Source organism: Homo sapiens, chromosome 1, assembly GCF_000001405.40.
Source record: "Homo sapiens chromosome 1, GRCh38.p14 Primary Assembly".
NCBI classification, from domain to species: domain Eukaryota; kingdom Metazoa; phylum Chordata; class Mammalia; order Primates; family Hominidae; genus Homo; species Homo sapiens.
Genome location: NC_000001.11, coordinates 208,466,482 through 208,492,017, shown reverse-complemented (window position 1 = coordinate 208,492,017; position 25,536 = coordinate 208,466,482). Strand labels below are relative to the sequence as shown.

At 40.7% G+C, this 25,536-nt stretch overlaps 1 long non-coding RNA gene across 2 annotated transcripts; it reads right to left on the bottom strand.

Moving 5' to 3' along the window:
* Positions 1–4,386: 4,386 nt before the first annotated feature.
* LOC107985460 (uncharacterized) lies at positions 4,387–24,793 on the bottom strand. 2 transcript variants are annotated; one of them, XR_001737819.1, is made up of 3 exons: positions 24,675–24,793; positions 10,741–10,855; positions 4,387–4,487 (listed from the first exon to the last, which is right to left on the bottom strand). It is a non-coding gene; the product is annotated as an uncharacterized LOC107985460 (long non-coding RNA). The 2 variants fall into 2 exon arrangements; XR_001737818.1 differs by lacking the exon at positions 24,675–24,793 and adding an exon at positions 14,995–15,274.
* Positions 24,794–25,536: the final 743 nt, after the last annotated feature.

Below are 25,536 nucleotides of genomic sequence, written 5' to 3'. Positions count from 1 at the left end.
TTGCTGGGAATGTAGATTCATTCTGCCACTGTGGAAAGCAGTTTGGAGATTTCTCAAAGAACTTTTAAGAGCTACCATTCAACCCAGCAATAACATTACTTGGTATATAAATATAGGAAAATAAATTGTTCTACCAAAAAGGCACATGCACTCATATGTTCATTGTGGCGCTATTCACAATAGCAAAGACATGGAATCAAGCTAGGTGCCCACTTCTTTTCTTTTTCTAATCCCATGGTAGATTAGATAAAGAATCCACCATGGGATTAGATAAAGAAAAGAAGTTCATATATGCCATAGAATTCTACACAGCCATAAAAAAAGAATGAAATAATTTCCTTTGCAGTAACATGGATGCAGCTGGAGGCCATTATCCTAAGCGAATTAATACAGGAACAGAAAACCGAATACCACATGTTCTCACTTATAAGTGGGAGCTAAGCATTGGGCAAACGTATACATAAAATTGGGAACAACAGGCATGGGGAACTGATAGAGGCAGAAGGGAGGCAGTGGACAAGGGCTCAGAAACTACTTATTGGGTACTCTTCTCACTACCTGGATGATGGGATCATTTGAACTCCAAACCTCAGCATCGTACAATATACTCATGGTGCATGCTGTAAGTAACCTGCACAGGTACCCCTTGAAACTCAAAAAAAAAGTTGAAATTATTTTTTAAAATAACAAAATTCAAGGCATGACAAGAAGTAGGAAAATGCAATTCAAAATGAGGATACCAATTGGTCAATAAAAACAAACTGAGAATAGCACACAAGTGTTAGAATTAGCAGAAAAGTCACTAAAACAATTATTATAACCATTTTATATTTTCACAAAGTTAAGTTAATGGATAGAATGTACATTATTCAGGTGATGGTACCCTGGAAGGTCTGACTTCGCCACTATGTATCTTTGCATATAACAAAATTGTGCAACTACCTCATAAAGTTATACAAAAAATAAATAAATAAACTATACCTAACAAAAAGTTAAGTAGAGTCATGGAAGATGAAAAAGATACACATTGAACTTCTATAAATGAAAACTACAATGTGTGAAATAAAGAATACACTGCATGTAATTAATGATAGACTAGAATTGCAGAAAATAATAGTGAATTTTAAAACATAGCAACAGAAACTATCCAAAATAAAATACAAAGAGAAAAGAAAAGGAAACAATGAACAAAGCATCAAATAACTAATTCAACCATTATATGCCTAATATATGTAATTGGAGTTTCTAAGGAAGAAGAGAGATGAGAGAACATATTTTTCAAATATCCTTTGAAGAAATAATGGCAAAAAAGTTCCAAATCTGAAAAAAACACTATGAACCCACAGATCTAAGAAGCTCAGCAAACCCCAAGCACAAAATACATGAAGAAAATTACACCAAAGCACATTATAATTAAAGTTTTTTAAAACCAATGTTAAAAAAAAAATCTTAAAAGTATCCACAGGGGAAAAAATTATATATAGGGAAGGAAAGAAAGATGACAACAAATGTCTTATCATTAACAAGGCAAGCAAGAGAGTGGAGCAACATCTTTAACATACAAAAATTAAAAAACAAACAAACCACCAGTCCACGATTCTAAGTCCAGAAAAAAAAATCTTTCAAAAATAAAGGTGAAATAGAGATTTTCACAGACAACAACATGGACAGAATTCATTACCAGCAAACTCATAAGAAATGCTACAGGATATTACTCAGACAAAAATAAAATGATATCTGACCAAAACATCAATCTACACAATGGAATGGATAAGTAAATGGATAAATATGTAAGATTTTCTTTCTTTAAGAAACTTCTTTAAAAGATAATTGACTATATTAAAATTGACTATTAGTAAATGAATAAATATGTAAGATTGTCTTCCTTTAAGAAACCTCTTTAAAAGATAATTGACTTCTAGAAGAAAACATAGAGAAAAATTTTGAATTATGCAAAGATTTATTATATATGACACCAAAAGTATGATCCTTAAAAGAAAAAAAAACCAGATAAATTTATCTTTATTAAAGGTTTAAAAATCTGCCCTAAAAATGCCACTAAGACAATGAAAAGACAAGCCACAGACTAGGAAAATATATTCGCAAAACATGAAGGACTTGTACGTAGAATACAAAAACTCAAGACAGTTGTTTGGGTGGCCTTGGACTGACCTAGTTTTCTCTTCTTTCTTTCTTGTAGTTCTCAAGAATAACTGTTGAATGTTTTGGGAATGTAGTATCCTTAGAGAGGGGAGAACTGCCTGAAGCAGCCTAGGTTTTGTTCCTATTCATCATCTTTGGATATGTAATATCTTAACTTAGGGAGGAACTCTCTGGGACAGCCTGGTCTTTGTTCCTTCTTCCTCTAGAAGCAGGATGTCCTTCAAAGCTTCACTTGATAAGGCACATGGTTCCTGAAGTATATAATCAGGGGTGTGCTGCCCTTTGGGGGTCCCACCCACAGTCAAGACCTTATCCACTTTGGCCAGCTTTCTTGATCCTTTGGGGACCAGTTCACAATGGATCTGAGACTTCTTCTGTCCCTTGCTGTTTATCTTTAAGTAATAAACCCCTTTACATAACTCGTTGCATGTGAGTGTATTCTGTCTCACCAAACTCAGACAAATAAGTCACCCATGCATGGTGGACATTAGCAGTAGCCCATGATGCCATGGACATAAGTATAGGGACATCCGTTTCTGGTAGTTGGCATAATGATGATCTTTGCTATCCTCCACGAAATGGGAATCTTCTTTTGGTATTGGTAATTATCAAAACTGTTTTACAATAAGAACTCTCAAAACTCAACAATAAAACAAATAACTAAATAAAGAGCAAAAGATTTGAACAGACACTTTACCAAAAAATATATATATAGATGGCAAACACACACACACACATACACACATACACACACACACGAAAAGATGTTCAAGATCATTTGTTCCTAAGGACACAATAAGATACCACTATACACATATTAGAATGACTAAAATTAACTGACCATACCAAGTTGAGAGGTGACAGCGTGCTGGCAGTCCTCACAGCCCTCTCTCGCTCTCGGCGCCTCCTATGCCTGGGCTCCCACTTTGGCGGCACTTGGGGAGCCCTTCAGCCCACCGCTGCACTGTGGGAGCCCCTTTCTGGGCTGGCCAAGGCTGGAGCCCACTCCCTCAGCTTGCAGGGAGGTGTGGAGGGAGAGGCGCGAGCGGGAACCGGGGCTGTGTGCGGCGCTTGCGGGCCAGCTGGAGTTCCGGGTGGGCGTGGGCTTGGCGGGCGCCGCACTCGGAGCAGTCAGCCGGCCCTGCTGGCCCCGGGCAATGAGGGACTTAGCACCTGGGCCAGCGGCTGCGGACGGTGTACTGGGTTCCCCCAGCAGTGCCAGCCCACCGGCGCTGCACTCGATTTCTCACAGGGCCTTAGCTGCCTTCCCGCGGGGCAGGCCTTGGGACTGCAACCCGCGGTGCCTGAGCCTTCCCCCACCTCCGTGGGTTCCTGTGCAGCCCGAGCCTCCCCGACGAGCGCCGCCCCCTGCTCCACGGCGCCCAGTCCCATCGACCACCCAAGGGCTGAGGAGTGCGAGCGCGTGGCACGGGACTGGCAGGCAGCTCCACCTGCAGCCCCAGTGTGGGATCCACTGGGTGAAGCCAGCTGGGCTCCTGAGTCTTGTGGGGCCTTGGAGAACCTTTATGTCTAGCTCAGGGATTGTAAATACACCAATGGGCACTCTGTATCTAGCACAAGGTTTGTAAACACACCAATCAGCACCCTGTGTCTAGCTCAGGGTTTGTGAGTGCACCAATGGACACTCTGTATCTAGCTGCTCTAGTGGGGCCTTGGAGAACCTTTGTGTGGATACTCTGTATCTAAGTAATCTGATGGGGACGTGGAGAAACTTTGTGTCTAGCTCAGGGATTGTAAAGGCACCAATCAGCGCCCTGTCAAAACAGACCACTGGGCTCTACCAATCAGCAGGATGTGGGTGGGGCCAGATAAGAGAATAAAAGCAGGCTGCCCGAGCCAGCAGTGGCAACCCGCTCGGATCCCCTTCCACGCTGTGGAAGCTTTGTTCTTTCGCTCTTTGCAATAAATCTTGCTACTGCTCACTCTTTGGGTCCACACTGCTTTTATGAGCTGTAACACTCACTGCGAAGGTCTGCAGCTTCACTCTTGAAGCCAGCGAGACCACGAGCCCACCGGGAGGAACGAACAACTCCAGAGGCGACACCTTAAGAGCTGCAACACTCACTGCGAAGGTCTGCAGCTTCACTCCTGAGCCAGCGAGACTATGAACCCACCAGAAGGAAGAAACTCCGAACACATCCGAACATCAGAAGAAACAAACTCCAGACGCGCCACCTTAAGAGTTGTAACACTCACCGTGAGGGTCCGTGGCTTCATTCTTGAAGTCAGTGAGACCGAGAACTCACCAATTCCGGACACAAAGTGATGACAAGAAAATGAAGGAACTTTTCATACACTGCTACCTGAAATGTAAAATGGTATAAGTATTTTGAAATACAGTCTTGCATTTTATTAAAAAGTTAAACATTTACCTACCTAGGTTTTATACATTCCATTTCTAGGCATTTGGCCCCTAAAATTGAAAGTATATATCCTTACAAAGTTTATACATAAATATTCTTAGCAGCTTTATTTGTAATAGCCCCAAACTGGAAACAACCCACATGCTCATTCACAGGTGAATGGCTAGACAAACTGTGCTATATTCTACAGTGGAATATTATGCAACAATGAATGAATAATTCTAGTAATAGTGGATCAATCTCAAAAGTAATTATGCTGAGTGAAAGAAGCCAGAAAAAAAGAGGCTATATACAACATTCTTACATTTTCTAGAAAATTCTAGAAAAATACAGACAAATCTATAGTGACAAAAATAGATTGATGTTTGCCGGACAGTGAGGGGTTGAAGGGAGACATTACAGTGACATTCAAGGAAACTTTTGAAGGTAATGGGTATGTTCACTATTTTGATGATGGTCATGATTTTATTGGTGTATATGTATGTCAAAGCTCATCACATTACACACTTGAAATGTGTGCAGTTTATTGTATATCAACTACATCTCAATAAAGCTTTTTAAATATTATTAACTGTTGAGATATATTGCACAATAGGGTGACTTTAGTCAACAATAATGTATCATAGATTTAAAATAACTTAGTCAATTTTAGATGTCCCACTACAAAAAATGATAAGCAAGTGAGGTGATGGCTGTTAATTAGCTTGATTTAATCATTCCACATTGTATACATGTATCAAAACATCACCTTGTACCCTGTAAATGTACAAAATTATGGTTTGTCAATTTAAAATAATGTTCATTAGAAATTTATTACTACCACCTTTCTTTGGTAAGCATTCTGTCTAATATCCTTATTTCTCTTTTACTTTCAATTATTTTGTCTCGTGTGTTTTAGGTATTGTCTCTTGCAAACAGCAAATAACTGGATTTTTTTCCTCTTTCTGAAAAATCTCTCTTTAACGGAGCATTTAAATCATTTATATGTGTTATTCTTACTTATTGACATACTTCTATCATTGTATCTTGGGCTTTCAAATTACCAACTTTTTAAAATATTTGTTCTTTTATGCTTTTCTTCTGTCCTTTATAGTGTTCTTTAGACCCTTTCATTTTTTAAAATAGTTATTAATTTTGTTTCTCTTCATGTAATTATTACCCTTATTAGAAAAAATAAATAAAGCCCAGTGCACAGAAATGAGCTAATAGTACATCTTGGTTTATGGCATACTATTTCTATTAATCCATTAAAGGCTGCTATATTCTTTTATGCATTTATGTAATGTATGTATCCATTATTATTTCTCACTCTCATTTCCCACTTCCACTGTCATTTGTTTTTTGCATATTATTTAATTCTTATGTGTTGCTGTAAAACAGGAACTGTAGAAAGTTGACTCATCTGTGTATCGTCACAGGGTACCTGGTAAATCTGGAAAATGCTTTATGGGAAATTGAGAATCACTTGAAAGATCAACACAATGTAAGAGAGCTTTAAGTAAAACAAATGTCAAGTTTCCTCTGATTTGTGACAAGTAGGACACAAATGACCCCATTAAAATGTTCTTGTGAAACAATTTAGCCATGAGAATTTGTACACTTACTTTAAAAATCCATGTAAAAAATCTCTCTGAGAAAGGAATTTGGATGTTTAATTTAATTTTTAAAAATCTCAACACAGATTCAACAGATCTCATGGCTTTTCCAGGCCCTAAGTGATTTATACTTTTAGTCCAGGTCCATCTGACCAAAATCGCACAAATTGGCCAATAGACATGACCTGCAGCCTGTTCCTCTTTATGAAATTACTCTAGGCCCCAAAATAACACATGACGAAGAGAACACCGGGTAACAAGAACTAGGATGAGGATGAACATCTGGAGAAAATTATGTTCTTCTCCCCAAATGATAGAGAAATGGGGAAAGATAGGTCATTTTGCAAGCTTTTTATCAGTAACAAAAAGTTACGAAAAATCAGTTTTATGCAGACTTTGTATATATTTATTGAAGAAAAAATTTTGAAAAATAAAGTCTTTAGGAAATCTAGGTAAAATCCTGGTATCCAAAAATAAAATAAATATAAAAACTATTCACAAGGATTCCAAACAATCCTACCATTCATAAAATGATGGAAATTTAATCCACACTTATTAAAAATACAAAATTAAGTTAGTAATACTTTTTGGACAATTGCTTAAAATTACCTAAAAAGCTACTAAATGTGGCAGAAATGTTTTTATAAAATAAGATCTTTTAAAATGATGTAAAGAGAGTTTTTATAAGAGTTGAATTTTAGGCAAACTACAATATTGATTATCAAGATAATTTGCTTTAGCCAAATTGCTTTTAGGCAAACTGACAATCAACTCACTTCAACAAGAAGGTAAAATTTTCTTACACTATAAATATTGAGTATTAATTGTTTAAATGTGTGCTGAAGATCAATATATGATGAATGTGCGTAGACTGTAGGAGAGTATTATAAAGAATGCTAAACTAGCCCAGAGAAGAGAGTTCCTTCAACTGAGCCAGATAAGGGCAGAATTGAGAATATTTAACAATTTTCACTGATCAAACTGAGGATATAGGAGAAGAAAGTCAAGTTTCAGACGAAGTGTAAAAGAATTCAGGATGAATCTCTAATAGCATAACAGGAAAGTTAACAGAATCTATGATAGAAAATCCAAAATGCAGAGGAAGAGTCCATAAAAGATACCCTAGATCAGAGGTAAGAGACAAAGGAAGGAAAAGAGACATTCTTGATAAGAGATGCAAAGAACACATGCTAGAGAGCAGAGGCAGTGCAAGCAGAGAGATACTAGAGCTAAAACCAGCTGCCCTTTGCTCTTTTGGTAGAAAATGTAGCTGCAAATTTAGAGCGGCTTTGACCAGAAGTAAAAAACAGTGGTCCATAGCCAAACAGAAAACATTCTCTTCTCTCCCTCAGCACCTAAACATGTGTCATGAGTGGGATGATCAGATGATGGTAATGATGTGATGGGTAGGCTGGCTCAGAGTGGGCAGATCAGACACCCTGAAATCCTGAGTCTCAGAAGATGTTGGAACTAGTGGGTCGTGGCAAAGAAGAGCACTTGGAGAAAACTGTAATAATCCTTTAATTGGTAAAGCAGAGTTCTGTGTGGCAGGGGCAAAGTGGAAGGAGAAGTTTGTACTGAAAAGCACAGGCTGAGTTGGATAAAGCTCCTGATTTGAACTTTTGTGTAATGTCTCACAGAAATTCTAAAAGCAAGCCCCTAAATGCTGTGGTATAGCTAGTATGGAATTCATGCTCCTCACAGGAGCTCTTCCTGTCTTTAGCCCCTTTCTCTCTCCCCTTCCCTACCTTCACTCCATTCTGACTTTGGTGGCCTTCATCTGAGCACCCATAGTAGCTGCCCTTACTTGGTTTGTAGCACAAGTATATGATGTGAACATTTGTTTACTTCTTTTTCTTCTTTACTAGACCATGAGTTTCTGGAGAACAGGGACTCTTGTCTTTCATCTTTGCAACCCCGGTACCTAGCCCAGTGCCCAGCTCACAGCAGATAATGATACGTGAATGGAGAGATACAAACAGCTGGATGGATAAATGAATGGTAAGGGGTGCAGCTGATACATATGTATGCACACATATGTTCAAACAGTTATGCTCATAGACTCCCTCTGTGCTCCTCTGATGCTCATCCCTGGGCCAGAACTTTCTATGCTGTTGAACGTAATCCTGGGAGAGATGGCCTTCTCTTTCCATTTCCTGTCTTCAGCTGTCAACAGTTCCAGCTCATCATCTCTCAAACTGTCATAGTTAATATAAGCTATGTGAGTTTGGAGCATGCTCTGAGATCCCATCCCCATCTCTGGCATTGGTCTCCATCCTTCCAGCATCTCCTCTTTGGTCATTGCTCAGCATTTTCTGTCTGTTCAGAGAAGGGCAGCAGCAATTTGCTTTCTTGCCATGTTTACTTTATGTCTTTGTCCAATATCTATTTGTCATTTTTATTGTATTTCTCTCTCTTTCTCTGAATTCATCTTTGGATGAGGCCTTGTCCTTAGCATTTGCTTTCAGAAAAGAGAACAGAACACCTGGTGGAACCAGGAATTTATGTCACTGGTTTTGAACCCAGCTACATAGGAAATGGAACATTCACATACCCATTGGGGACTGTAGAAACTTAAAACTATACAGTGAGTTTATATTCTTCAAAGTACTTTCAAAAGCATTATTTCTTTTGAGGCCCACAAGGGTAATGTAGGGCAGGTATCATTACCCTCTAGCAATACATCAGGATTTTGAAAAGAGCACTGGAAATCTCATTGGTGTTTGAGCCCTTCCTATCTGCTAGTGTGACTTTGGGCAAGTCACTTATTACTTATAGTGACAAATAACTTATAGTGACAAATAACTACCTTTCAGTTTAGAACAAATATATGTAAAAATATATGCCTAACCATCTCACATGGTTATAAGCCTCACAAAAAATAGTTTAGATAAAAGTTTTGAAGTCATGAAGCATTATAAAATTAAAAGAGATTGGGATTGTTATTATCAAAGTATTACTATTATATATAATATATTGCCAAATTCCAGGGAGGGAAACAATTCTTGATGATCGGAACTCAACTCCTTTACCTCCCATTCCAGGAATGCTTTTGTCCCCATCATGCTGCCTATACTAGAACTGAGAGAGGACCCTAAGTCACCTCTTTATCCCTGAGGAGAAGGAGTAAAAATGTAATCACACACACACACACACACACACACACACACACACACACACACACGTTCTCAAAGTCTCCCTGCTTCTGGGCGGAGGAGCAGGGCTTCCTCCACCAAAGAGGGCAGCAAGCTAAGTTTCTCTCCATCCCAGTGACTCATAGACTAGGTGGTCAGTTTGAGCCAGAGAGATGAAAGCACAAGATCTCTTTAAGCATGTGAGACCTACCCATCCAGCTGCTGTATAACCAGCCTTGAGAGCTGTTAGAGGGGACAATGAAAAAAAAATCACATTTGCTTCTTCTGTTTTTTTCTTGGATTTCCATGGTCTCTCATTCATGGCTCCCAGACCTAGGCAATTTTCTGATTCCTTGAATGATTCGACTCTCTGAAAAGCACTCCAGCTTACAAACAGATTTTCTTTCTGGCAGATACCTCAGTGGTTACCATCTGAGGGCTTTCTCTTATACTGTATTGGTAAGTTTGTCACTGGGGCTAACTGCTTTTTAAATGCATTTACATATTAGGTCACCATTGGTCTGAAATCCACAGTGGAAGCAAGCTGTGGCCATGTAAATGGATTGCAAGAGAGTGACCTCAGAGAGGAGCACTGAGGTTAAAGACAATTTTGCACAAACAAGATGAGTTATATTTTCTCAATTCAAAGGTAACTTGATGGAAACATCTTAGCCTCAAATCTGATTGCTTTCACCAGGACAGTGATGAAACTGGCTCCATTGATAAAAGCCAACACATTTCCCTCCCTAATTTCATCAGCTTGACCCTTTCTTCTGATTAAATGCTTATAATTTTTCTCCCAGCATGTAATTTTTTAATTATAATATGTTTGAAGAACATCAAAATTATTTGGCTGTTTGCAGGGTGATTGTTGAAAGCAGAGTCAATTCGTTTCTTCTCTGATGTGCCGGGCACCCAGTGGGTGCCTGAGAAATAATAATTGACGACAGTGGCAGACATGTCCCTGTGGATGGGCTGATGTGCTCACGGGCAGTGACAGTGGGGAGAAGAAGGCTCTGAATTTCCTAGTGCTGAATTCCTGCCTCCCCATGCAGTTGGGATGGTAGAGGAGAGAGGAAAAAGACAGTGAATTTCATACTGAATGTCTTATGTATCATAAAGGAATTTCTGCTCAAAGGCCTCCAACTAATTTAGTTGGTTTTCTCTGGGATTAGGAATGGGATAGAGCAATGTTTTAAGAGAGAGATTTTGTTTGGGAAATATTTACTTGTCATAGTTAAAATAATCTTAAACCAAATAAAATATTTTCTGGACAGAAAAACAATAAAAAATAAATTTCTGGAAAGACAGGATGAGAGGCATAAAAGACAAAAGATAGATTTAGGGAAAGTGTCTCTACAAGGAATGCAGAGGGGTTCAGGCTTCCATCTTTGAATTTCAGTGTGACGTGGAAAAATGGTTGGCCTCAAAAGAACTATTCTCAGATTCTGCTCTACCACTTACCAGCTGGGTAACCTTGGGTGATATGCTCATCCTCTCTAATCCTTGCTTTCCTCATGAATGGTAGTGACAATAATATACCTGCTTCAAACATGGCGATGCTTAAATGAAGTGATACCTGTAACAGAGCACAGTACAATACTACACATGTTGAACGTGCTTGGCAATGGTTAGCAATAGTATTATATCAGGAAATTTCTGAGTCAGCATCAAGGACAGCCCTCTTCCTCTGCAAACTGTTAACACAGTTTAAATTTCCAGCTCTCTAGACTTCTCTGAGCCTGTCCTTTCTGGAAGCAGGAAGTTAGACAAGATGGCCTCTGAGGGACTCCTTGTGCTATCGGTCTGCACCTCTAAAGTTGTGGCCCTTTGGCTCCATTTCCTGCCTGTCTGATCTGTGTGTTTTTTGTTTGTGTTTTTCTGTTGTTGTTGATGTTTTTCTTGGAGTCAGCCGCATGACCCTCAGACCTGAATAGGATACTGAATTGCCAATTCAATTTACCTAAAACTGGTGGAGCCTGAAAGCCTGGCCTATAATGACATACAGCTAATCTAATACAAATTGATTTTGGTTTTAAATCCCAGCAAGTCAAGAAATTGCTGTGGATTTTTCCAAAACACAAAGAACCCTGCTTTGTTGTAACTGCAAAGCATCTGACCTCGGCTTCCTGGGTCCCAGTCTTCGCAGCCTTATTGATGCTTTCTATAACTGCAGCTACTAACCACACTCTCCCCACCCCACAGACACTGAACTTAGTAGAGATTGAAGGAGCTCCAGCTCCTTATTCTGCAACTCCCCATTCAGTTGTCCTTGGGGCCAGTTTGGATCTGTCCTGGAGCCTAAAGTCTGATCACACTGTCTTTGACTTATTTCTAAAGCTCCATCATTGTGCACTGCTGTTCTGATAACTATATCCCTGGATGTGAGCTCTTATCCATGTGATTAACTCTGGAACTGGGAAGCTGCACTATTTTGGCAGCCATTTCCATCAACAGGACTGAGTTCCTGAGTTCTGGTGCAAGGCTCAGATCCCTACAACTCAGGACCCTTCCCTGTTGCCAATAGCCTGTCTGCCGTTCTTCTTACTTGGATTTCCTGAACGTTCTGACTTAGGATTCCTTATTAGTCCATAATCAATTTCAAATTTCACAGATGCCAACTTCTTGCCTGGGCCAGCTCTGGTTATCTGTCTATGAAGAATTCCCAGTAGCATTTTTATTGAGCTGCCCAGAAAACAACCTTAAGCTGGATTTGTGGATCTGAAGGGATGGACAGGACTCAGATGTGACGATCCGGAAGGACATGGCAAGAAAGATCACAATGTTACATGCTTGCAGGAAATTAACAGTCATACTCTAACTCTTTTGAGCATATGTGCAAATGTAACAAAATAATAATATCTGTTGGGGCTGTAATGATTAAATGAGACAATGGTACATAATAATTGCTTACATACGTTGACTGCAGTGTTGTGCTTTTTTAAAGACCCTAATTGGCAGGATGGGAAATGAACCAATTGAACAGGGTCGGAACCTAGGAAAACCAGCTAATGGAGGTGGAGCCAGCCCCTGGGAGAAAGACACAACCAGCTACACGTCTCAGTAAGAAGTCCAGTCCAGCAGACGGCACTCTTTATCTGGAAACTATGGCAACAGACAGCATCAGTCTTCACACGGAGATCGAAACAAGCAGATAGGTAGACACGAAGTCAGCTATGGGACAATTAAAAGGTCTTGGGTCTGAGACAGGAATAAGAATTTCAGCCCTTATTTGTGTGGGACAATAGTTGTTTAGTGTGTGTAAGAATTACATTGAGTCCCAATTAAAAATGGAGAGTCTCAGTCATCATCTACAGAGTTTTTTAATCTTTAAGTGTAGTACAGAATTTTAATAAGTTCTTTGACGATTCTGATGTGGATGACTTTAGGATCACGCTAGGGGAAACTTAAGTGTAGAGAAACAGGCAATGGCAAGGCAGACCCCAACACTAGAGAAACTGAGTCACTTGGAAAGTTAATCAGAGAAAGACTCAGGACCTAGGATTCAGTTAGCACAACTGCAATGCTAGGATTCTGAGCCTCAGAAAACAAGACAAAATCCCCCAGTCCTCTGGACTATTAGGGAAATTAAGCCATTCTGCAGGGGATAGTTCAGGCTTCAAAAAGAAATGAATCAAATGTACATAAAAAAAGATATGTTTTCATAAGCGCAAGAAAAATACTGATTATTTTGACCAAGAGTTTGGTGCCCTTTGCCCCTCCCTCTCATCTATTCATTCGGGTAGGCATTCATTTATTCATTTATGTATTGACTCCACCGTGACTCCTGCTTCTATTGCTCCAACTATGATCTCACTCCTGAATCCAAGAACTACATGTAAAAATCCTCTTAAGAACTTGACATATACAAAGTCTAATTCAATATCTTTCTTTTCATCTCCAAATTAACTTTATCTCCTAAATTCCTATTATCTAAAGGATCAAGAAAGACAATGAGAATCACGTTTTATATCTGCATGTCATGAACTAGAATACCAAGAAGTTTACCTATATTTTCTATGATAACTGGTAGAGGGGCAAGAGTTTTCTGGCCATTTTACTCATCTTGAAACAAAGACTTGAAGATGATGTGTAATTCACAAAGAGAAAGAGACAGGATCCCTGTAGTCATTATTCCCAGCTTAGAGCTCTTTTATTTGGCCTCCCATTGGTGAATTGAGTGTCTCTGGTGTGGTTTTGAAATGGGAAGTGCAGAGTTACCTACCAGGTCATCTCCAATAATAGTCTAGTGTAGTGCCCCAAATTCTTCTACTTGCAGTTCATTCTTTAGAAACCTTCTTTTTAAATATAAATAAATGCCATTGCCAAAGTAAATATGCAATTACATCAACAGCTTTCAAACCAAATTTCCAGGACCCTTAGCAGTTCCCTGAACATTTCCTCGGAGGTGCACCAGAAAGGGCAGGACACACCAGCCCTTGAGCCCACCAATACCACCAGCACCACCAGCTTCAGTAAGAGGAGTTACTTTTCCCCCTGCTAAGTTTAAGGAGCTTCAATGCAAAAGCATTTACAGAAAATGTACTTTACCATCAGAATGTTAAAAATCATTTGTAAGAGTGGAAAAAAACTAGAAACAGCCTAAATGCCTATCATCCTAAATTATAGTACATCCACACAATGAAATGACAAGGAAGCTGTTAAAAAGGAGAGGTAGACCTATATATTCTGATGTGGAAACAAATCTGGACACATCTTTAAATGGAAAAGTCAAGTAGCAGGTGAGTATCTATGGTGTGGTTCTAAATGTGTTTAAAATATACATTTATATGCTTGTGTATACATAAACTAGTTTGGGAAAGACATAATTTCTGGCCTGGAAATTGTGACTTGGAGTTTGGGGCATGCATTTAGCATTTTACTGTACTCTCTTTTGTACTATTTCTCTTTTTAAATCAAGATCATATGTTGATTTTTAAATAAAAATATTTTTTAAAAAATGTATGAAAGTTATCAAGTTAAGGTATCATTGGTCATTATGAACATCTTGGCAGATATATCTTTTTCATAATAACAATGATCTCAGAGGAGAGAAACCCTTGAACAGGTAAACTTTGATATGAACGGTGTGAAAAGGAAAAGGCCCATCTACAGAGTGTTGCCTAACAGAGACTTAGGAAGATGGGGAGAGCTCCTGATCTATTTGAGGCCCCGACATTTGACAGGAAAATACCACCTGGCTGGGAGAAAGAAAAACAGAACAACTAGGAGAAAATACTCTCTTTTCCCATGTTTTTACTTGGTCCTCTTATTATGAATATAATCTAAACGATTTCCAGCAGGGAAACTAGGTTCAGAGGGCAGAGGAGTAAGAGTCAGCTATTAAAGAAAAATAATTGTCTTTGAGGGATTGGAAGGCTGTTATTTGGGTCGGACAATGATCCTGATGAAATCAACCAGATTGTTGCTCAGCTCTCCACTTCCTGAGTCTGGGCAGGAGGTACAGGACTTACATTCTAAGGCCTCTGGAGTCAGAAAGACTGGGTTTGTGTTCTGGCTCTGCCAGTTAACAACTTGCGACCTCTGCACAATGGAGGAATCAGACTAAATATTGTCTAAGTTCTCTTCAAACTCCAAGCTCTGTTATATCACAGGCATAAAAACCCCTGAGGGCTTCTCACTCTCTACTTCCAGTTTCTGTCTCTTTCATAGACTCCAAGAGTGAAATACTTGCACCCCCTCCCCTTTTCTGTGTACCTTCTCTTTGCCAGGTCGCGAAGGCAGGTGCCTGTGCACCTGGCTTGAGTCCATGACCCCTTGCTTCCTTGTGAAAGATGATTCTTCAGCTCCTGCACCACAGCCCTGCCAAGCTATGCTCTCAGAGCAGTCCATCATGTTCACTCAGATGGGGAGCAATCTGAACATCACAGTTAATTAAACTGCATTCTCAAGCAGACTCCCAGTTTCCATTTGGGAATTCAATTTAGGTGGCCCTAGTCAGGCTGTCTTTTGATCTACAAATCACTCTTACTTTCTGTTTTCCCCTGCAGATGAGGCACCCCCACTCCCTCCACCTCCTCCTCCATGCCTGATCTGAGCGGAAAGGTCAATAATGACCAGGAGATGATGTCAGAGTGGAGCTGGAACAAGGTCAAATGTAGGCAGTATCTTATATCAAGCCCAGGGCAAAGCTAAACTATAAACACTCTCTTGCCTGGAGACTTCTGCATCCTGTTAACACAGCATCCCATTGCTTTCTGAGCTCTCCCCTGGGTGGTCTTGCTGAAACCCATGGTTTGGAGAGTGTCAAAGAGCTCTTAAGTATAAACACAGCATTCCAGCCAGCAGAGGCAGTGCACACAAGAGAGAGGGGCCAGGAATTCCTGGCTCATATTCTTTTTCCCTTGCTTACTCAGGCAAGTCTTTTATCCATGGATGGGACAGTTTGTTTTTCATAACTTCAGTCATGAGAGCCCTAACTTCTGTAGTGTCTGAGAGTGATCTTGACTTCTCCTCTCCTTCACCTCCCATCCAATCAGCCACTGAGTCTTGTTGGCTTAATTTCTTAAAATTTCTTCAAATTCGTCCACTTCTCTCCATCCTTTCTGCCTCTTAGCCCGCAGCACTGCTTTCTGAAGGATTGGTGAAGCCTCTCCAACTGGCTTTTCTATGCCAATCTTGCTCTTGAAAACCCATTCTTGGCTTTGCAGCCTGAGTATCTAAATAAGCAAATGCAATTATGAAACCCACCAAACGCAGTTATGAAACACAGAAAAACTATTCGATGATCCTCACTTGTCCATACACACACACACACACACACACAGCCAATCTTACAAGGCCTTTGGTAACCTGGTGCCAAGTCTGCCCCAAACAACAACAACAATAAAAACAACTGCTGGGTATTAAGTAATGAGTATGTCCAGATAACAAAGTGAGCATTCTGCATGAGCAAAAATATGCTCTTGAACACGTCCTTCTCCTTTAAACCTCATCCCTTCAGTATATGCCATTTCTTCTGCAGAAAGCGCACTTCTCCCCTCTCCTCTTGGCAATCCTATCTCCTTTCATTCAAGATCCAGCTTGTGACATCCTCCTCTGAGTCATAGCTCCGCTGCGCATGGCTAATTACTCTCTCCTCTGAGTCCCCATGGAATCTTGTAATATCATAGCATTTATTGCACTGCATTGCAACTGTTTAACATGCTGTTTTCCTCATTTGGTTGAAGCTCTTCAGGAGGCAGAGGCTATTTTTCATTTATCCCTATGTCATGGCTTCCACTGTGCTTGGGGCTTACACAACTCAGTTTTCAATAAATGAATGAGAGAGAGGAGCACTATGTGATTGAAAGGCAGGAGTTCAAGTAGCAAAACATGGACCTGAGAGGGCAGGTTAGGAAGCTCTACTGGGATCTCAGGTTAACCCACAAGAAGAGAGCTTTCCTTCCCTCCTCATCTCCTAAATACACAGTGGGGAGCAGAAGCCAAGGGCCTCTGAGAATGGGGATGGTGCTGAAAATAAACTTCACTCCAAAAGGGCTGAGGGGTTTTGCCATCTTAAGACACACCTTTGCAGTTATGAGTTTATCTTCTCTCATCTCGTAGAGGCTGGGTCAGTATAAAGCAGGCTCAATATGGCAGGATGCGAAAACTGTTTTTATTACAATATTACAATGGGGTGAAAACCCAGGCATTTCCTTTACTCTAGGGGACGAGTTTAAGGCAAAGAGCCTTTATTTAATAAAAGGTTATTGTACCTCAACATTTTTCAGAATCTTTCACTCTTCTCTAATTGTCTTTCACTCCCCCACCTTTGTGTCTACTCCCATTCCAGTTTGCAGATGAACAGCCCTGACTGGTCCTTTCTAGTGACATACCGCATTGCAGTTCCAAACAAAAATTAGTATCTCCACAGATCACTGAATCCTAATTAAAGAGTTTTATTATCCTTCCCCTTCTTTTCTATTCACCACCCCCATCCCAGATTTTCACTCAGGGAATCTTAGCTGTATGCACTCAGCAAAGGCCTAGCCACGCTGAGCCGCAGTCTCCTTGTCTGCACAGGGTAGTAGTATTACCTAACTCAGGGCATCATTATGAGGATTACAAAAGGTAAGCAAAAACTTAATGCAGATAAATATTAAATAATAGTAGCAAGAAACTCCATCGATGGGGCAAGGATGCCTTAGATGCTTTTGAAATTTCAGTCATTTAGATTTGTCTTTCTAACAGATACAACCAGCTTCTCTGAGTTACTCCCCTCAGGAGCAACTATTTCCTTCTAGTCCCCTTCCTCAGTACCTTTACCTGGAGGCTTCTGTTGTTGGGCCTGTTTCTAAGCAGGCTTCCCTTTCCTCTTTATGCCACACTCGCGTCCTGGAAGAGGCACAGAGAAGTCCTGCAATTCTGGGTCTCTGTCCTTTCTGTGTATGTCCTAAATGCACAAATAAGCCCATAATATCTTCCACAACTGTCTTGGAAAAACAGATGGTAAGAATTCTGCAGTAAGTGAAATGGGAATATTTACCCCAGAGGGTCATCTGAATTTTTCTTTCAATTGAAGCAGGAAAATTCTCCACAAGCATCACCAAGGAAGCCCAGTCTCCCAAAGCAAAGACTGAGGAAAAAAACCAAACTCAATGTGATGAAGTTATCCATGGAGGACAGCTGTGCCTGTTCAAGGAAGGGGAGGCATCTGGGAGCAGTCCCTACCTCCTGTCTACACACTGCCTGATTGAGAGACTCAATGCTCCAGCACCTGAGGGGCTTAGGGAGAAACAGAGCCTGAGAAATCCAGGGAGATTTTGTGAAATTGTTTGGTTTTTGTTTGTCTGTTTTTTGAGACAGGGTCTTGCTCTGGTGCCCAGGCTGGAGTGCAGTAGCACAATCACAGCTCGCTGCAGCTTTGACCTTTGAAGTGTACTCCTCACTCCTGTGTGTTTGTGTGGCTGCAGGGACCTCACCCTGCCTGCTGTCCTATTCCGTCTCCCCACTCTTCTATGCCCCAGGACAAGGACAATGATGCTGCCTTTACTGTGACATCCCTCTGCTTCTCCCATTGCCAGTCGAGCTGTGCTCCTCCACGCCTGGCACTCAGACCTCTGCCAAAGATTTTCCTGTGATTATTATCAACAGTGCAGCTTCCCAGCTGCCCAGATTTCTTGACTAAATCACAATTTCTGAGTGTAGGCTCTGGGGCTCTCCACTTCTGGAAAGCACTGCTAGTGGTTCTTGTACAAGGTAAAGTATGAAAACATTTCCTACAAAAGAAGGGTCAGCATCCGTAGCCTGTTTAGGACCCTTCGTGAAAAATCTGTCTCCAATTCCTCATCTCCAAGTTGATTTCCCAACTCCTCCACGATCCGCACCTCCAGCCATGCCAGCATGCATACTCACCTCTCCCCAAACATGACACGCAGGTTCTACATCAAGATCCTGCTCATGCTGCTCCCCCTTCCTGGAATACTCTGTCTCCACTTGAGTCCTATTCTTCCCTCAAAGCTCACTTCAGTTAAGACTTTCTGCGCATGAATTACTGAGACAGGTGTTGAAAGGCTGTGTGTCTTCAGTCTACTGCAAAGGACAACGTGTGGTCTTGCCCTCGAGGAGCTTTAACGTTGAGTAAAGAGATAAGACATTGTACATCAGCAACCATAATAAGAGGTAGAATATAAAAGAAACAAAAGTGTTAGAGAAGGGGGGGGCGTGAGGCAACTGGGGGTGTTATCCGAATTGGCATTTTCTGCAAAGCCTGACAGTGTGCATAGGACTGCAGATGTGGAGAAGTGAAGGCCAGGCCAAGGGAAGAGTTTCAGCAATGGCACAGAAGTAGGAATGGGAAGAGAATATAGAGAAAATGAGAAGTAGCACAGTTTGGCTTAGCTCAGAGGGAGACTTCATGCAGAAATGTGAGAGACTCGGCCAAAATACAGACCAGGTGACCTTAGCTCTCCTCCTCCTCTGAACTCCTTTAGTTTCTATGATCTGAACCTAGACCACTTAGCATATACGGCCATGTATTTTTTTTAATTGCTCTACGTATGTTTTTGAAAGCAACATTTTTCTCTTTATAAAACATTTTTGTTGGAGAAAATTTGGAAAATACAGAAAGGAAGTAAAATTTGAGTTACCCATAAATCTACCATGTGGAAATAACCAGTTAGCATTTTGGTTAATCCTTAAATTCTTTTCCCCCATCCACTTTTTTTCACTATAAAACTGAAATTAAAACTTTAAAACTGTGCTTTTTTTTTTTTTTTTCTTGTGATCGAGTCTCACTCTGTTGCCCAGGCTGGAGTGCAGTGGCGCGATCTCAGCTCACTGCAACCTCCACCTCCTGGGTTCAAGTGATTCCCCTGCCTCAGCCTCCTGAGTAGCTGGGATTATAGGCATATGCCACCATGCCCTGCTAATTTTTGTATTTTTAGTAGAGAGGGATTTCACCATGTTGTCCAAGCTGGTCTCAAACTCCTGACTTCAGATGGTCCATCCACCTCGGCCTCCCAAAGTGCTAGGATTACAGGCATGAGCCACTGCACCCGGCCACCTGTGTATAACTTTCTATCCTATTTTTGTCACTTAGCAGAGTATGATGAACACAACCCCACATCTTTGAATATTTCTTGAAAAGTTGGTTGTTAATGGCTACATAATATTCCAACATACAAATATTCAAGTCTCTATGTAACTCAGTATTTTCCAACTGTAATTTTTTGGGATGCTAATAAAATACACATTAACAGGTTAAACCAAGTTAACATATTTCTCTTTATTCTGGATTCTATAAGTCTTCAAAGAGTCCCACGTGGATTTTGATTCTTCAAAATGACAGTATAGCAGGTAGTATTCACTCTGGACTGTTTTTTAAACAAGTATCTCTTAGAGCTCATTTTCCACAAAAGTTTGAGAAACCTTTCTCCCATTGAAGGATATTTGGATTGTTCCTAGTTTTTCACTATTATAAATATTTGATAAAGATTTTGTACATAAAATTCAGGCTGAAATTCTCATTATTTCTTTAAGATATATTTTTGGGAGTAGAATTGTGACATTTAAAAAGTCAAAATGTATGACTTTTTAAATTAAAAAAAAATTTTAAACATAATACTTCCCACCTCCCTCCCCACTTGGCCACTAGCCTCTCTAGCTCCATGATTACATTATATATTTTTGCATCTTCTTAGTGCAGAGTCTTGTGCCTTTTATTTAGAAAGCCCTTAGCAAATGTTTGATGATGGCGATAACAATAAAGAAAAAGAAATATAAGATAAAAGGGTAGGTTGTGAGGAGGAAAGAATTGCATCTTACAGTTGAAAGTGGCAGATAAAATAGTCCTTAAATGCAGGTTATTTTACGTCAGACAACTTGAGTTCATAGTACTGCACTTGCCTTCTTTTTGACCTTGGTCAAATTACAGTGCTAATAATTCCTAACTCAGAGGTTTGCAGAAAGCACTAAATGAGAAAAGATGTATAAAGCTTATAGCACATGCCTGGCACATACAAGCATTGAATAAACATGGCTGTTACTATTATTACTATTATTAGCTGATTTCTGGAGTCCAAGGGAAAGGCGACCATTTCTTTAAGATGTTTATAATGTATGAGAGTTATATAGGATCAGGGCAAATAGCAGCTGATTGGAGCAAAGCTTGCAGCAGAGGAGACATTCAGGAGAAATGGCTAGGGAATGGATAGGCTCTGCTAGAAATGTCCACCAAGGCAGCAAATGTGAGCCAATGGAGAAGGGTGGAAGTCAGCCAAGGCAACCAGAGACTATACTAAAGATAAAAATCAAATCTGTTTTGGCATGGTAAAGACTAACATTTTCATTCTGAACTCCTCTCCCATTGGAAAACTCCATTCTGATCCCATTTTCCATTCCAGAGATAATCAACCGTCTCCCCCTGGACACAATGTGGTGGCCATCAGCCTGGCTCTTACCTGTTCATTTCCTGTCACTGCCTAATTGACAGCAGGCCCCCCAAGCTGGCAGCTCCTGCAGAGATGCTGACAAGAGCAACTCTGAAGCTTGGCATCTCCCTGAGCCCTTTTATTTATTGCTCTGTTTCAAAGAGGGATTTATCTGTGTGTGGTTGAGGCCATTACTACCTTTTTCTAGATTTCCTGGGTGCACCCAACCCAGAACCAAAAACTTGGCCATTTGGCTGCATCTCTGACACCTGAAGAGAGCTGCAACTTAACCCTCTAAAGCGAACACTACACAGTGGAGGCTAATGGCTCCAGGTAGGTCCCAGTTCTCCTCCACAGCCCCCTTCTCTCCTCCCCATCTTTCCCATCACTTCCAGAGCTTCTGAGATTTAACAAGCGTTAAAATTCCTTACATCTATTTACAGGGAAGGCCAATTTACTGTGATTAAATGCAAGGTAGCGTTCAATTAGCAGAAGATAAACACAACATATCAACCCACTACGATAATTTTTAAATCAAAAGTTAGAACACACATAGGCTGCTGCAATAATAATTTACTAATTTAATGATGATGGAGCTTTTCAAGATCTTGCCATTCTCTTAGACTGTGTATGAAGGACACTCCTAATGTTAATTAGAGCTCACTTCATTAACAACTTAACCAAAAGACCACACTTTGTGAAATTATTTGGGAGCCTACTAGGAATGAGATGATGGAAGGAAATTACCATGAGTACGTTTCCCATCGGTTAATGGAGGGTATGATGTATAAATCATCAGCAAAGGCCACATGGTGACAGTCGGCAAAAGAAAGGAGAATTTGGAGCTTGTGTATGAGAGCAGGGCAGATGGCTGTGAATAATGTGTGAAAGCACATGCCTCTTCATATATATGGTGCTCATGGTAGTAAAGACATGATCTGCCATGCAAACTCCAGGGCAGTTTTGTTTGGCACACAGCTGTTGCTTACACCTCTGGGCTTTGCCCGATAGAGTCAGAGCCACCTTCAGCACAGTGTTAAAGCTTTAACAGAGAGTAAGTGCTTGGGAACTTACGAAGAATTCATGGGCCTGCACTCCAATTGGAGGATGCCTCTTAGATTCAGCATAGTTCTTTCTGTCCCCAGCAGCCAGCTGTTTTGAAGATACATGCACTGGTCCACAACTATCCAAAATGACTTTGGGATTCTAGAAGTCAGGGGTCCCCGAGAGCCTAGGACAGCAGTTTGCTAAGGTTGCTGTTGATTGGAATCAATTGGGGATCTTTTAAAAATACAAATTGCTGGCTCTCATCCCCAGAGATTTCATCTGTGTGGGGTATGATCTGAGTATTAGGATTTTTAAAGTTTCCTCTATCCAGGTGATTCTAATGTGCAGCAAAATTGGAAAATCACTACTCTACTACCCACGTCTGGGGCTTAAGGTAAACAAAAATCTCTGAGCCCCGTGGCAGATGCTGGAATCTGAGCAGAGCCTGTTCCTGGCAAAGCTGTTGATCACTGAGAGGAAGGGTAGAGGGAGCAAGGTGCTTAGCATTAACAGGCCTGGTTTCGAATCTCAGCACTCCCGCTTACTTTGAGTAAGCAAAAGAAAACTCCTCTCTGAGTTTTCCACTCTGTTAAATTGAGGAAATGATGCTTCCCTCAGAAGTTGTGAGAGCATTAAATAAAATAATATGTAAAGAGCTTAGCCTGTAATACGATAAGTGGAAAAATGGTTTATCTAACCAATGATTATTAACTAGTTAAAGAGGAAAATAAATCATAAGCCTATTAGTATCTAGTACTTGTTCAAAGTTGCTAAAGGAACTGTGAGCATTTTGTGCAAGTGCCTTAATAAACCCAGAAAGCCGCTGGTAATAACAGTGCTTTATTGCATGTCTACTATTAGCCAGGTACTGTTCTAGGCACTTTATAAACATTTTTAGGTTGCTAGCTAGTACATATGTCAGTAAGGATTTTCTGACAAGGGATGGAATAGAGAGTAGCCAGCTGTTCATAAGAAATTCCATGAATCCAAAGCACATGCTCCTCTGGCCTATGGCTGCAGGCCATGGGTGTTGAGAGGATACCTGCTTATTTTAGAAGTGGGTAAGATACACTCTGATGGAGAAAAGACTGGACTTAGCAAAGACCCGGTTACAAGTCTCAGGTCTTCCACTCCCAAGCTGACCGACTGTGGGTATGTTTCTTAACCATTCTGAATCTGTTTCCTCATTACATAAGCTATGGATAAAGACAGTTGCCTCACTGAGTGTAAAGCATGAAATGAGATAATGTATATAAGAGTGCAGATCATGGTGCCAGGTACATGGCAGGAACCCAATAAACAGTTTGCTGAATTATACATTCTAAATAGCAGGAGAAGGGCACATGGTTCGGGAGGTTTCCAGGTGACAGCCTGGGAGCCAGAGCTCCTGGATCCTAAGACAGCATGGGAACTCCCATGAAATGCATTCTCCTATTTCCCAGCAATCGCCGAGTCTAATGAGCTCTTGAAATTGTCCTCTTCCTGCTCCCAGACATATTCATATACCTGTGGGCACTTTATTTCAAGCAAACCCCTCAGCTGGAGCCACGAAAACCAAAAGGGCCTGCCAGCAGCCTGTGCCACCCCACAGGCATAAGGGCTCAGAGCCTCAATTAGAGTGTGGCTGAGAAAAGCAGGGCCCAAACCCCCTCTCGGCACCAATCCTTTCTACAGAAACAACCAACCCCCCTAACTATGAAAATCAATGGAATTTTCTCCCCTCCAATATCTAAATAGCTATTTGAATGTGTTCTGTAACAGGAGGAGCTGTTGAACAAAAGGTCAGGGCTGATTTGAAGTTGGTCTTTTTATCAGCAATTGCTTTTAAAGACACAATTCTCCCAACTCTGAGCCCCTGAAGATAAAAAATTATATAAATGTACAAATGACTTTATGACTTTGATTATACAACTTCTAAGGAAATATCCATATGAACCGTTAAGAAAGACTAAAGATATGGTGATAAAGAGGACTCTTTGAAATTCTGCTTTTAAAAAAAATCTATGTCATGAGATATGAATGTAGCCAAAGCCTTGATAAAAGTCGTGTCATCCTTTTGCCATAGAATCCGCTGAGGCATGAAAGGGACCATGGGCCTGGAGATCTTTGCTGCCTTTAAAGTCTGGCTTATTAACATGCTTTAGAGTCTTCCTGAAGATGGGTCTGGCCAAAGGTTATCAACAGAAACTTAATTTAATGAGCCCAGAACACGAGGAGAGGAGCCCTGCAAAGCCAACACTGAGAGAAATTTGGGGCAAGGGCATTTCATTTTCTGAAGAGGAGAAACAAAGATAAACTCATTAAAGCAGAAGGCACTACATTGTTGGTTTTTATCCTCAGAACACCGCTCTCCCAGTATGGGGGCCCTGCTCAGTTTCACTACAGAGACTAATATTCCACTCCACCCAGAATAGAACCTGACGATAATAAAGGCTTTAGAGGGTAGAGAACAGCTACAGGGAAGGCTGGTTTACAGACCAACAGCAGCGCTGAGATGTCACAGTTGACGCAGGCTGGAGTCCACCAGGCTTCTCAGGGCAGAGGAGGTACTTTTTGACATTTGGTTCACAGTAGATCTAGGTCAGTTACTCCCATCATGGTTGGGTGGAGGCAAATAAAAATTCTGGAATCCTGAGGACAGAGATAGCTGCTTAAAGAAATGTTGCAAATGCTCTCCAGTCATAAGAATAAATTGTTCCAAGGCCAAAATGGTGGGAACATCCTTTTGAGGTAAATGACACAGGGGTCACATATTGACATGCCTACAGGAGACAGGCGAATAACACAAATTAGTGAAACAGGGTAGGACTGAGATAATAGGGCATGTTGGGACAAGGTTGTGGCCTTTTCTTAAGGAACAGCAGATCCTAAGCTTGAATGAACGGTTGCCTCACTGGAAGGGTGATATGTTGCCAGAACTGATTGATCAAGCGAAGCTGGAAGTTGGAATTTTAATATAAAATCTCCTTATTTTAAAGGAATGGAAACTAGGGTTTTTGTTCTGTTTTGTTTTTAACATTTTGTGGACCAAGCAGAACTTTTGTGTGGGGGTAGATATAGCCTGTGAATTTGGGGCATCTGACTAGAACATTAGATATAATTAGCATGTGGTAGTACTAGAAGTCAGAGAGGAAAGTACCATTTAGAAGGCTAAATGAGTTATAGCATGTGCATTTATTTCTGAAAGGAAAGTATTCTCCAAGTAGGGTTCTCATGAATGACCATGTGTGCTGCGCATTGCACACCTCTGGGGGGCACCCTTTGTAACAAAAGGCTATATTAATATCCCCTTTTGGAGTTGCAGTATATGAACCTGAACAACCATACCCAGCAGCCCTGT